At 43.2% G+C, this 13,557-nt stretch overlaps 1 protein-coding gene across 11 annotated transcripts in view, besides 1 other annotated feature; it reads left to right on the top strand.

Moving 5' to 3' along the window:
• TTC28 (tetratricopeptide repeat domain 28) overlaps positions 1-13,557 on the top strand; it is a 701,827-nt gene that overhangs the window by 565,143 nt on the left and 123,127 nt on the right. For all 11 annotated transcript variants that reach the window (NM_001393403.1, NM_001145418.2, XM_047441214.1 and 8 more), the window contains 3 exons: positions 6,295-7,636; positions 8,896-9,419; positions 13,418-13,527. In NM_001393403.1, coding sequence (NP_001380332.1) covers positions 6,295-7,636; positions 8,896-9,419; positions 13,418-13,527 — 1,976 coding nt within the window. The remainder of the gene's footprint in view (positions 1-6,294; positions 7,637-8,895; positions 9,420-13,417; positions 13,528-13,557) is intronic.
• Positions 1,555-2,097: an enhancer, noted in NCBI's record as "OCT4-NANOG-H3K27ac hESC enhancer chr22:28508589-28509131 (GRCh37/hg19 assembly coordinates)". NCBI's record gives its function as "activates a minimal SCP1, AML or CMV promoter by ChIP-STARR-seq in naive H9 embryonic stem cells {active_cell/tissue: H9 hESC(naive)}" and the evidence as "EXISTENCE:reporter gene assay evidence [ECO:0000049][PMID:30033119]".

Genomic DNA, 13,557 nt, shown 5'->3' with positions numbered 1-13,557 from the left:
TGAGGCAGGAGGATCTCTTGAGCCTGGGCGATTGAGGCTGCAGTGAGCCATGATCATGCCACTGCACTCCAGCATAGGTGACAGAGTGGGACCCTGTCTCAAAAAAAAAAAAAAAAAATCTATACCTTTGCTGTCCATCACTGGCAAAAATAATGGAGATTTGTCTCCAGGTGCATATTAATAAATAGTCACCTGCAAGTGTGTTAGATAAGACATCCAATTGGTTGCATTTCTAACACAGAGCACTTTGCTCTCATGCCTTTGATTCTAGCCATCTGTTTACTAACCAGGTCTGTCACCTCCTCCTCACTCTCAGCTTTGCAATATTTTAAGTACAATGTAGAAGAACTTATATGTGAAAACTTGAGAAGGAGAGGGTTCAGGGAACCTAAAGATATCTAGGGTTAGAATTATGGGTCCTATGGAAAACCTGGGACCACTTCTCCCAATGAGGAGGAGGATTGGGAGGAACAGTTGGGAGTACACAGCACTTTTCTGTGAAGCAGATTTTCTTGGCCATTTTAGCCATTTCTCAGCCATTTGGCTCTTTGATAGACAAAATATCATCCTATCCTTTAAGATCATTAGAAATGAAATCAAGGCAACAGGACAAAGTGCTGTGTAGTTTTCAGTCTCTACATGTTCTTCTCCCAGCCTGGAAAAGGATATGGAGGCTGGTGCAGCTACAGAGGCTGTTGACCAACCCAATTTCTTTCTACTGTTGTCCCATAGACATAAAAGTGGACTTAAACATCCACGTCAGGACTTAGCTGCAAGGAACAGTTTCCTGATCCAAAAAGATTATAGAAGAATATATGCAGTGCAAAGTTTTATGTATACCTTTGTTATTTAATTTTCCATTATTGAAATGTTCATGAACACACAGGAGAAAATGGTATAATGAACTCCCACATACTCATAACCCAGTTTTCCACATTTTGCTAATCTTGTTTCATCTATTTTCATAAACACACACACACAATTTTTAAAGCAAATCATGGACACCACGTTGTTTCATGTGTAAATGCTTCTATAAATATTTCTAACGGAAGAGAACTTTATAAAGCATACCCACTGTCCTATGTCACACCTAGCAAGACTAATAAGAGTTACTTCATGTCTCCAGCTTGTCCTGAAAGCAGATGGGCTGGTCCTGCTGAGGGCAGTGGGTCTGAGAGTCCTTGCCTCAGTTCTGCCACTAACTCACTTCCTCTCACTGGAGACGAATCTCCATTACTTTCGCCAGGTCACATCATTTAGAAAGTGAACCCATGGGAGGGCCTTTTCCAGTTCCCAAATCTTATGTTGCCTCTGAGAATAGATGGTGATTTGAGTAGGATGGAGCAGAAAACAATTTGTTTGAAAGTAGAGGAAAAAATAGATCATCTCTTAAAGCCCCATTTGGGTTGTGTACTATTAATAATCATGACTGTAACACTTTCAATACATGAGAAGACCACTTCCATTGTTTGTGGCGGTGCACCGAGGCCCCTACCTCCACAAAATTCATAAGAGAAAAGGCAGCCAGAACTGCATTCTATGTTTAGTAATTTTTCTGCTTGGCTTGTGCAGCTCACACCTCCCTTGGTCTTTGCTGGTAATGGCTAATAATAAAAGCAAAATGTATTGAGCACTTACTATGTCTGAGGCACTTAGGCCAGCCTCTGCTGAGCATGATCGCATTGGCCCTCACAACAGCCCTTTGAAGTAGCTATTATTATTCCCATGGCAGTGACCATTCTTGACCCATAGGTGGAGACCTGCTGTGACGATGTATAAATTCATAACCATGTGTCCTTTCTCCACACACCCTCGTGAGAACTCGGCTTTGTGAGGATCTTCTGCCCCACTAATCTTCATTTAATTCCCCTCCCTGCAGCACGTTGTCACCTAGCACGCCCCTGCTGACAGGCCCTCTGTAAGTCTTCATCTGACTGACGGCCCTGGAAAATCAAGCTGTGGTCTCGAAAGGGAAGGAGGATCTGCAGATTATCTCCTCAGCATGTGCAGTCACTCTGCTGGCAGCTCTGGGGCCGCTTTTAAGTTGCCTCAACAAAGAGAAAGGCTGCCAAGAGTGTGTCATGTTCCATTCAGAATTCCCCAGGCTGGCAGTGGCTGGGACAGTAGAGACACAGGGAGGATGAAAAATTCCCAGTTCGGCCTCATCCATCTCTTCTTACTCTTGTCTGCATGAGGAAGCCTTTGAGAGTCTTCCTATGATTCTTTACAGGCCCTTGGAAAAGTAAGATAAGGAGGACAGGAGAACAGTAGAGTGCATAGGGAAGCTGGCTGGAGATCAGATCATTTTGCCATAACCAGCAGGCAGTTTCTTTCACAAATCATTGAACCCTGGGTAGCCATTATCATCCCGACTGCTCCCTATTAACTAGCCCAGACTCTTAAGGTCATGAGAGTCAGAGAAACAGAATTCCTTTCCTTTTTCTCACTCTCTAAATACTGGTCCTACTAGGTTTAGATACCATGTTTTAGTTTACAAAGTATATTGATACATACTATTATGTTTCTCAAGCTATGTCTTTGAAATGATTATAATATGACCTTATTAGTGAGAAAACAAAAATTGCCAAAATATTTTCAATTTAAAAAAATAACAAAGGCTCAGAGGTATTGAGTGTCTCAAAGACACTCAGCTGAATGAGGTGGGAGCCAGGCTTGTAAACAGTACTTCTGGCTTAGAGTCCTGTGCCTTTTCTATTATATTGTGCCTTTCTAATGCTTAGCCAGTTTCCTGTAGGATGAGGTAAGTCCCACCCTGCAGGAGAAGTGGGGAGCGTCCAAGGAGACCTGTCTTTGGTGGTGATGGGCCATATAGGAAAGCCAAGCTTCCTACAGTTGCCTCCAATTGCCTCTCACCACTTGCTTCCTCTTACCCCCATCTTAGCAAACAAAAGTGATTATACTGGCTTAAGAAAATCATTGCAATAAAATCCAAAAGCTGTGAGGGAAAAAAAAATCACTGCAAAGGCATGATTGTGGGAGAAAGTGCTCCAAGGGAGATTTGGGCACTCCTACTGCCCTCCCCAGCTCCGGCTCTGTTCGTAATTATTGACTCATGGCTGGGCAGATATTTTGACCCTAATTTAAAAAATACAGAAACTGAGGAGAGAGGGAGTAAATGAGGAGAGAGGGAGAAATGTAAAAAAAAAAATTTCCTCTGAGGAAACCTGGAAATTTGAAATGTGAAATTTTTCTCTTTAGATAAAAGTGGTTTAGGACCACATGTTAAATTCAGGTCTTTAGAACTGAAACGTTTCTGTCACTAATAATTTTTTAGCATTAAGAGGGTTGTAGGTGATGCTAAGGTATTATTTCCTCTCGGGAAGCTTAGATTTTCTCACCTTGAGACAGATTCGGAAAAACCCTGATCCTTCCAGCAAGGATCCTGGTGACATCTCTAACCCAGGGAAGTGACCAGACCCAGTCCCCAGGAATATTACTTTCTTACTGGATTGGAGTCCAAAAATACTGTTTTTAAACCAAGGTTTATATGTTCGTCATAGAAAAAAAATTAAAATACATGTAAGTAAAAAGACAAAAAAAACTACAATTCTACCACCCAAATATTACTGCTCTTAACCTTTAAATACATTTTATGCTATATGTTTAAATATAAACATGTATGTCTATACACAATGCTACTAAAGTATGCATTAAAATGTACTGTTTTGGGATCATATATCCCCTTAATATATTGTAAATTTCTTCCTATGTCAATAAACTTAACTTTTTTTTTTTTTTTTTAAAGGCAGGGTCTCACTCTGTCACCCAGGCTGGAGAGCAGTGGTGTGATCATGGCCTACTGCAGCCTCGAACTTCTGAGCTCAAATGATCCTCCTACCTCAGCCTCCCAAGTAGCTGGGACTACAGGCTCACACCACCATGCCCAGCTAATTTTTTAATTTTTGGTAGAGACAAGGTCTTGTTATGTTACCCAAGCTTCTCTTGAACTCCTAAGCTCAAGCGATCCTCTTGCCTCAGCCTTCCAAAGTGCCGGGTTATAGGTGTGAGCCACCACACCCAGCCCCTCACCATTTTTAATGTCACCATGTTTATTCCATTGTATAAGTGTACCATGATTTATGTACTTATTTTTAAATTATGAAATATTTTACTCATAAAAAATATACAGAAGAATTACCATGGCTTATTTAATTTCCAGCACCTTAAGAATTTCCTTTCCTGGAAGGGAATAATTTCAATAACTAATATTGCAATTTCACTCTGCAGTTTTACAGTGCTCTTGCACATACATTATTTCATTTGATCCTCACTATCACCTACTAAGGTTGGTGTTATGTTTATTATTTTTCTCATTTTATAGATGAGAAAATATATGAACTATAGATGAACTACATAAAACTCAAAAACCTAAATGATTTACCCTAAGTCCAGTTAAGTCAAAGAGATGGCTGGGTCCCAGGAGTAGATGTGACTCTTGTGGCAGGGCAGATCTCCACAGCATGCAAGGGAGGAGTCAGGACCAGCAGAGTGGTCCCCACAGACTCACCCTGCACTGCAGCCCCAGCTCCTGCCCTGCCCTGACTTCAGCCTTGATCATGCATACTGTCTGCCTTTTCACTCAGTGTGCTCTCTGGGGGCAGAGACTTCTGTCCTCATTCTTCTTTCTACCCCTGCTGCCCACCACAAGTTCTGATACAATAAATGCCCAGCTAATGTCTGCTGGATAAGTGAATGAATGAATAAAGAGTGTCAGAGAGATACACAAATTGGGGAGGCTAGGTTTTCACAGCTTTCTTTCTCAGAGCATCTATTTTTAGTTCAGATGTTTTAACAGAACACATCTTGGCATTTTTGACTTTTGGGGCTTCTGTAGGTTTTAGTCACCACTGGAAAGCTCACAGACTGATGCATGGAAAAGCATGTTCAAAACCAAAGGCAAGGAGAAACCTGTTTGCATACTAGCTTCTCTCCACCTTTTCTAGTGGTGGCCCTCACTCTAGCCCCAACTGGGATGGACGAAGCTCTCCTTAAAGCCAGCTCCCAAGTTACCATTATGCTATCCCTCATTTGAAACCACTTTATAGTTATGATATGTATGATATAACTCACTTTTTTAAACTGCTTGTTAAAACAATAGTTTAGCTTAGCAGCTATAATATGGTTCATGAGGTTTGTTTGGAGCACTGTTATTGTTGATTGTAAAAGCAGTATAGCAGAATTACAAGAGATTTTAGAACAAAAATTACTGAAATTCCACTACCTAACAAGGCAACTATTTTTGTTTTTGTATAACCCCGTCAAGAGCTTGTCCGTGTGTATGGACATACTTACTTTCCTAGTTATTGTCACGGGAGCATGCAGCATTTTTTCCTGATTTTTCCAGTTAATATGATTACAAGAACATTGTTTCCCATTTTTCAGCATAGACTTCATAATTATCTTTTTAATGACTGCATAATCCTCTATTGAGTTGATATACCAAAATGTACTTATACAATCCCCCAGTGTTTCACATTTAAGATGTTTCTGATTTTCCAGTAGTTTATGGTGCCACATTGAAGGTTGTTACGTGTATTGTTATGCAATCTTTTGTGTTTGTCAGATTATTTTCTTAGGATACTTTCCCTCGAGTAAGATTGCTGGGTCAGAGTAGGAGCGCCGTTTGTGGTTCTTGCCAGGCTGCTTATGCAAAAAGGTTGTTCCAGTTTATGTCCCCAGCAGTTGGTGTGTTTACCAATTTTAGGACAATCTCATCAGTGTAGGAGTTGTGGTTAATTTTTTTGTTTGCTAATTTAGCCAAAGCAACATGGTACTTCAGGGTTGCTTTATTTTGCATTTCATTGATTATTAAAGGAAATTAGCATTTTCCCTTGTGGTTACTCTTTGTATTTCTGTGGATGTGAGTTGTCTGCTAACATTTACAGGTCTTCGCCTATTTTAGTAAATTGGGATCTTCATTTTTAAAAAATCAAACCAAATAAACTCTTTATACGCAATGGCTATTGAACTTTTTCATTTATGTTTAATATATTTTCCAGTATTGTTTTGCCTTTTAATTTTAGATATGTATTTGTAGTACAAACATTCTTATTTTTGTAATAAAATCAGTAAATGTTTTTTTCTGTTGCTTTGAAACTTAAGCTATCCTCTCTGTGGAGAGCTGATAAATATTTAATTCTACCTTCTGTTATTTTAAATTCTTTAATTCATCTGGATTGCATTTTACTATAAATTGAGATGCAAATTACATTTCTTTCTACATTGCAAATCAGTTATTTCAGTCTTAGTCTGTTCTTTTATTCTCTTTCTCAGGAATCATACACCAGATGAAAGGTGATTATGACACTGCACTGAAACTCCACAAGACCCACCTGTGCATTGCCCAGGAGCTGAGTGATTATGCTGCCCAGGGCCGTGCCTATGGGAATATGGGCAATGCCTACAATGCCCTGGGCATGTACGACCAGGCGGTCAAATACCATCGGCAGGAGCTGCAGATCTCCATGGAAGTGAATGACCGCGCCTCACAGGCCTCCACACATGGGAACCTTGCCGTGGCCTACCAGGCCCTGGGTGCCCATGACCGGGCCCTGCAACACTATCAGAACCACTTGAACATCGCCCGGGAGCTACGAGACATCCAGAGCGAGGCCCGGGCCCTCAGCAACCTGGGCAATTTCCACTGCTCTCGGGGAGAGTATGTCCAGGCTGCCCCCTATTATGAACAGTACCTCCGGCTTGCTCCCGACCTTCAAGACATGGAAGGAGAAGGGAAGGTCTGCCACAATCTTGGCTATGCCCATTACTGCCTTGGAAACTATCAGGAGGCAGTGAAGTACTACGAACAGGATCTGGCACTGGCTAAAGACCTTCACGACAAGTTGAGCCAAGCAAAAGCCTACTGCAACTTGGGCCTAGCATTCAAGGCTCTGCTGAATTTCAGTAAAGCTGAAGAGTGTCAGAAGTACCTACTGTCCCTAGCCCAGTCTCTGAATAATTCCCAGGCTAAATTTCGAGCCCTAGGAAACCTGGGCGATATATTCATCTGTAAAAAAGATATAAATGGTGCAATAAAATTCTATGAGCAGCAACTGGGCTTAGCTCACCAGGTAAAGGACAGAAGATTAGAAGCCAGTGCATATGCAGCCCTGGGCACTGCATACCGAATGATCCAGAAGTATGACAAGGCCCTGGGTTATCACACACAGGAACTGGAGGTATATCAGGAGCTGAGTGACTTGCCAGGGGAGTGCAGAGCTCATGGGCACCTGGCTGCTGTCTACATGGCCCTTGGGAAATACACAATGGCATTCAAGTGTTATGAAGAGCAACTGGATCTAGGGCAAAAGCTGAAGGATCCGAGTCTGGAAGCCCAGGTCTATGGCAACATGGGCATCACAAAGATGAACATGAATGTGATGGAAGAAGCCATTGGCTACTTTGAGCAGCAATTGGCCATGCTGCAGCAGCTAAGTGGAAATGAGTCTGTGCTCGACAGGGGCCGGGCCTATGGCAACCTGGGGGATTGCTACGAAGCCCTGGGTGACTATGAGGAAGCTATCAAATACTATGAACAATATTTATCTGTCGCGCAGAGTCTGAATCGCATGCAAGACCAAGCCAAGGCTTACCGGGGCCTGGGAAATGGACACAGGTAAAAATGACCAAGGACAATTGTGGTTTATAGTTCTGCAAAAAGAGCATTTGTGGCAGTAAAGGCAACTTCGTGTCTGCATGGCAGTTTGTTAACTACAAACATTTTCGTACATATCTCATCTGATTCCTCCAACAACTGTTTGAATCAAGTAGTTGATGTTGTTACCCTTATGTTATGGATGAAGAAACTAAAGCCCAGAGAAATTGAGTTAATGCCTAAGATTATGCAGCTTAAAAGGGACAGCTGAGAGTTAAACCCAGGGCTCTGTGACTCCAAATGCAGTGCCTTTTGACTACATTAGAATGAGAAGGATAATAGGGATGGGGAAGGTGAACGAGTCACTTTCGCTGATCTTTTCTGAATACCTCCCACATTATATGAATGTGTTTATTAATACAACATCTGCACCTAACCAATTACTTAGGCCCCATTGTGTTGCTCCTCAGAAAAGCCACCTGATAATAGGAGAATGCATAAATGTACTATGTTGCATGCATCATCTGTGCAAGGTCCCTTGCACAGATATCTTAATAGTTTTAACAGTTTTGTATTACTCTATATCTATTATCATCTGCTGTGGGATGTGGGATTTATTATCACCAGAATTGGAGGCTCAGGGGAACTAATTCATGTGCCCCACACAACTGGTTTGGTCATACTCTTTCCACGCTTATCGTGTCTTCTCTTAGCAGCAGAAAAAGACACACTGTTGGTCAAGGTGATACTTTCTCCTAAATGTGGGGAACCCAAGAAGGTGCCTGTGTCTGCAGGATATATGGCCCCACCAGAGAGGCAGGGGATTAGGGCTCCTGGAGTGGAGGAAGGGCAAGGGTCAAACTAAATCTTCACCCACAGAGTGCTCTGAGAAGCTCAGGGTGAAAGATTTATAGCCACTGTGAAGTGATTTCAAAAACATAGTCTAAGCGGTAGTGGAAATTGGGAGGCCTGAAGAACCAAACAGTTCACTTGCTATCATTGTGCCTATTAATATATTTTATGTTTCCTCTGGGGTGTATATCCCATTGAATCTCAAGCTCTTGGGAAGGTCACTAAGGGATGACTTTTGAATTGCTTTCCAGATTATGAAATTCCTCTGCATCTCACTCTAAGGGCACATGATAGATTTTAGCTAGAAGAGGAGTTAAGAGCTTCTATAGTAAGTGACAGTGACAAATGCTTTTCATTTTCTCAGGGGCTTTAGCATGTCTGCACCTGCATGAAATAATATCATTGCTTTTCTGTCTACATCCCCACAGGGCAATGGGGAGCTTGCAGCAAGCCCTTGTGTGCTTTGAAAAGAGGCTCGTGGTTGCTCATGAACTTGGAGAGGCCTTCAATAAAGCCCAGGCCTATGGAGAGCTGGGAAGTCTGCACAGCCAATTAGGGAATTACGAACAAGCCATTTCCTGCCTTGAACGCCAGCTGAACATTGCTAGAGATATGAAAGACCGAGCCCTGGAGAGTGACGCAGCCTGTGGCCTGGGGGGCGTTTACCAGCAGATGGGGGAGTATGACACAGCCCTGCAGTACCACCAGCTTGATCTACAGATAGCAGAGGAAACCAACAACCCCACGTGCCAGGGCCGAGCCTATGGGAACCTGGGCCTGACTTATGAATCCCTGGGCACCTTCGAGAGGGCTGTGGTCTATCAAGAACAGCACTTGAGCATTGCTGCACAGATGAATGACTTGGCGGCCAAGACGGTGTCATATAGTAGCCTTGGAAGGACCCATCATGCCTTGCAGAACTATTCCCAAGCAGTCATGTACTTACAGGAAGGTAGGTGAAAAGGCCCATTGTGTTCTCTTGGCCTACTTGAAATCAAGTTCAGAGTCAGAACTCAAGACTCAGAGGGAAGTATGCACAGTTTGAATGGCCACCTCTGTGTGGAGTAAGGGTCTCAGAGGCCACATTGTCAGTTCAACTCCAGAATCACGGTGTCCCCACCAGGTGTCCGTTGATAGTACTAAGGTGTTTCATTGTCCATAGCACCTTGCCCTGCTCTCTCGGACCCAGATTGTCTTACTCTCTCAGTGACAGCATCTACTGCTCGCCAGCTGCCCAAGGAGCTGATACCCTCCTTGCTTTTCAGAACCCTCTGAGGAATGAGCAGCACGTTCTCGCACAGATGAATCAAGTAAGATGTAATCCTAAAAAATTATAAGGGTTCGAATCAGAAGAAAATGCCCATCTGCTCCAGGCTCTGTTGTCCCTCTAGAGAATATCTAAACTAACTATATTAAAACTTTATAGAAGTCAGTTCTGACATGGCAGCTGAGGTCTAATCCAGAAGTATCAGTCTGAGGGGTACTCAAGCAGTAAACCAGGCTTCTTTCTCAGCATTTGTCACCTACAGTGCTTGGGTTGGTGCCACAGTAGGGTCTTGTTCCAGGCTGGCCTAGAAACTGAAGGCTGCACAGTTGGACCTTGGATGCTTCCTTCCTCCGAAAGCAGAAGTCCCATAGCAATGTATTTGCCCTCCACCTCTTTACATTGAGATGAGGCTTTCTGCTCTTGAAAGTCCTTCTCACACAGGCATATTGGATCCTCTCACCCTAGAAGGGAAAAAGGGCAGATAGCTCACTGGTAAAAGGAATGGTTACTGATTTCAAGCAAAAACTCTCATTTCCAGGGGGCTTTGCACATAAAGTTTATTTAAGCTGATTCAATTCTCACAATAGTCTTGTGAGGTATATCTTTTTATTCCCATTTTTGCAGTTGAATCACCTGAGGCTCAGAGAAGTACAGTGATTCAATCCTAATCATGTAGTCAGTTAGTCAAGGAGTAGGGCCCAGCCCGAGTTTTCCAACCCAGAAACCATACAAGATCCTCTCTGAAGTTGTTTCTAACTTTACAGTTGCAGAGTAGGGTTGGGCATCCTACCCGCTTTTACTCCTGAGCCCCCACTGGGAAGCCAGGAGAGAGAGAAGCAGCAAGCAAAGAGGAGAGTGGGTAAAGAGCTGATGATTCGCTGGTCTCCTTTGCAACAGACCAGGGACTGCACTGGCCTGCAGTCTGAGAGGTTACAGAGAGTCTGGAAGCCACTTCCCAGACCTTATCTACCTCCGCTTCTATCCACATGGGGCTCTGCCTCTATGCATTAAATGAGAATGTTGGCTTCTAATTTCCTGAAACTTGACTGTGGTAAAATTCCAACAGACAAGGAGCAATTTTCATTTGAATTTGTAAAAACTATTAAATTCAGTCATATGACAACTTTTCAGCTGTGTTCTTTTGTACTTCCTGAAATACTATTTCCATGAAACAGCTGGTTTGCCTGAGACATTGCAACACAATTCTATATTTGTGGAAAACTCTCAAGTTCATTTTTATTGTTTCTTGTAATTTTTTAAGTCTTGCAGAGATCTAAAAACTCTAATTTGTAGCATCTCTACAGTGTCTGTCTTGTGGATGTGTCCACTAGAGAGCCTGCAGCTGATGGCTTTCCTCGTGGGCCAAACCAAATGCCTCTTCTCATGAGGGCAGGACACCTGGATGGTGCTTTCCGAATGCTCTGAGTTAGGTCTGCAGCCTCTGGCAAGGAGGGACTAGTTTATCTGGAAACCACCCTACTGCTCCCTCTCCCCTGGCTTTCTGAGGGGATGAGGCTGTGGGGCCTTGTAGATCAGCATCACCCTGCTTCAGTGCAATAGACTCTCACAGGTGGGGCCTGGTCTGAGCCTTTTGAACAAGCTCTCCAGGTGCTGTGGAGGGAGACACCTCTGGATAAAACCACTGGTCTCACCCAGCCCTTCCTCTTCTTGCAAATGAAGAAAGGGAGCGTGGATCAATTTGGTGACTTTCCTGGAACCAGTCCCTGACAAACTATAGGTTCTAGGAGAGCTGGATGGGTGAGTCAGGTTCCTAAGAGGCAGAAGCAGAGAGAAGCTGGGGCAGGACAGATACCATGTCTATCCAGGGGGCTTTTAACTCTTCATTGTTGAACCTCAGCTAGAGTCCTACATGCTGAGGATATAGCAGGAACAAAGCAAAGTCCCTGTTTTCATAGAACATGGCTTCTAAGCAGGAGTTGTCTCAGTGAATTTTACTTCTGACTCATAGATCTTGACCTAGAAGGGACATCTGTATTGAAGAATTAATGTGTTTAGCTTATTGAAGGTTTAAACAATCGGTATCCTTCTGGTTTTCTCCCAAGAACCATCTTCTTTCATATGTTTTTCTATTCTGTGAGATGTTTAAAAATGTGAATTATTTACAAATATTTTTGCTATCCAATAACATGACTTAAAATGTTTCTAAGTTTTCTGAGTTATCAGCATTTTGAAATGTATATTTATGACATTGAACCTGAGTGTCACTTTTCTTACCGTCTCAACAGACTCAGTTCCTTTTCAAAAGCCTGAAATTGCACAGGCCCAGCATGATCAGAGGCAGGCTTCCATCTACCCTGAATTAGATTAGAAGAAGGAAGTCCTTCCTTTGTGTGTGCAGTTGTACGGTGGGAGCCTTCATGCTGTCTCTGCACAAGCTAGCTTCTATGTACAGTGAGCAGGATAATGAGGGCAAAGTGATGCTGAGAACTGCCTAGTGACCAATACAATAAATGGTTGCCTTCAGATTTGACTCTCACAAAGCCCTCAAGGTTGCTGGTGTCCTGAAACCCAGAAGCTTGCTGTGGGTAAGTGACCCAAACTGCAGGTGCCTGCCTGAAGGCTGTTAGAATGAGGATGGTTTCATTTAAGGCTTTTGCCTCATAATAGCACTTGTTTTGCAACCCCGCTGAGGCACATCAAAATCTTAGACTGAAAAGGAAAATAGATTAGACATGAAATGTGTCAGTAACATCAGTAACAGAAGGCAGGGTCAGGCTGTGTTCATATTCTGCTTTCAGGAGAACATCGTATGTATCTTCTATTAACACTCATTGGATGCTGTGCACGTGAGAAAGGAAGAATATTCTTTTGCCTTCTGTATTTAACTATCAGGAAGAGCTTTGCCAGCCAAAGAATCAGGTTAGATAAGTTTATCAGCCAGGAGTTTTCCTTTGCAAAGCTATGGATTTCAAATTTAGGAGGGTGACCAGGTTAAGTTTCACTTGTTTTAGTGTTTCTGCCTGCCCAGCAAACCTGTCTCCTGCTGATAGCCATCACCTGGGCTCTTGCCGAGGCATCCTGGAACATCCTGGAAATGTTGCTACCAACACAGAATTTGAAGACAATGCTTATTCTACCTTGGCTGATTCAGCTCTTGTCCTCATTTTATCTAGCTGTGTTGTTAGTATTCTTTTTTTTTTTTTTTTTTTTTTTTTTTTTTAACAGAGATGGGTCTCACTAAGTTGCCCAGGCTAGATTCTTACTCCTGGGCTTAAGCAGTCCTCCTGCCTCAGCCTCCTGAGTGGCTCTTGTTAACATTCTTTTATAGACACCTGAAGCAAAATTGGGTGGGAGCAGTGCTATCCCAGTGCTTTAGGAGACCGGGGTGGGTGGATCACTTGAGGTGGGTGGATCAGGAGCTGGAGACCAGCCTGGGCAACATGGTGAAACCCTGTCCGTACCAAAAAATACAAAAGCCAGCCGGGTTGTGGTGGCCCGTGCCCGTAGTCCCAGGTATTCCGGAGGCTGACTGAGGTGGATCACCTGAGCCTGGGGAGGTGCAGGCTGCAGTGAGCTGCCACTGCACTCCAGTCTGGGGAACAGAGTGAGACCCTGTCTCAAAACAAACAAAAACACAAAAGTAAAATGACCCTTCAGGACTCCTTAGGATAGTGGAATTATCCATCTTCTATGTTTCCTTAAATTTCTCTATCTGGTTTCAGGTTTAAGGTTAGCTGAGCAACTGGGCCGAAGAGAAGATGAGGCAAAAATTCGCCATGGCCTTGGCCTCTCCCTTTGGGCTAGTGGAAACTTGGAGGAGGCCCAACACCAGGTAAGCAGAACCCCTGACTGAAGTGGATTT

This window comes from Homo sapiens, chromosome 22, assembly GCF_000001405.40.
Source record: "Homo sapiens chromosome 22, GRCh38.p14 Primary Assembly".
NCBI classification, from domain to species: Eukaryota; Metazoa; Chordata; class Mammalia; order Primates; family Hominidae; genus Homo; species Homo sapiens.
Note: the sequence above shows the minus strand (reverse complement) of the source record. Positions and strands in the feature narration are given on the sequence as shown.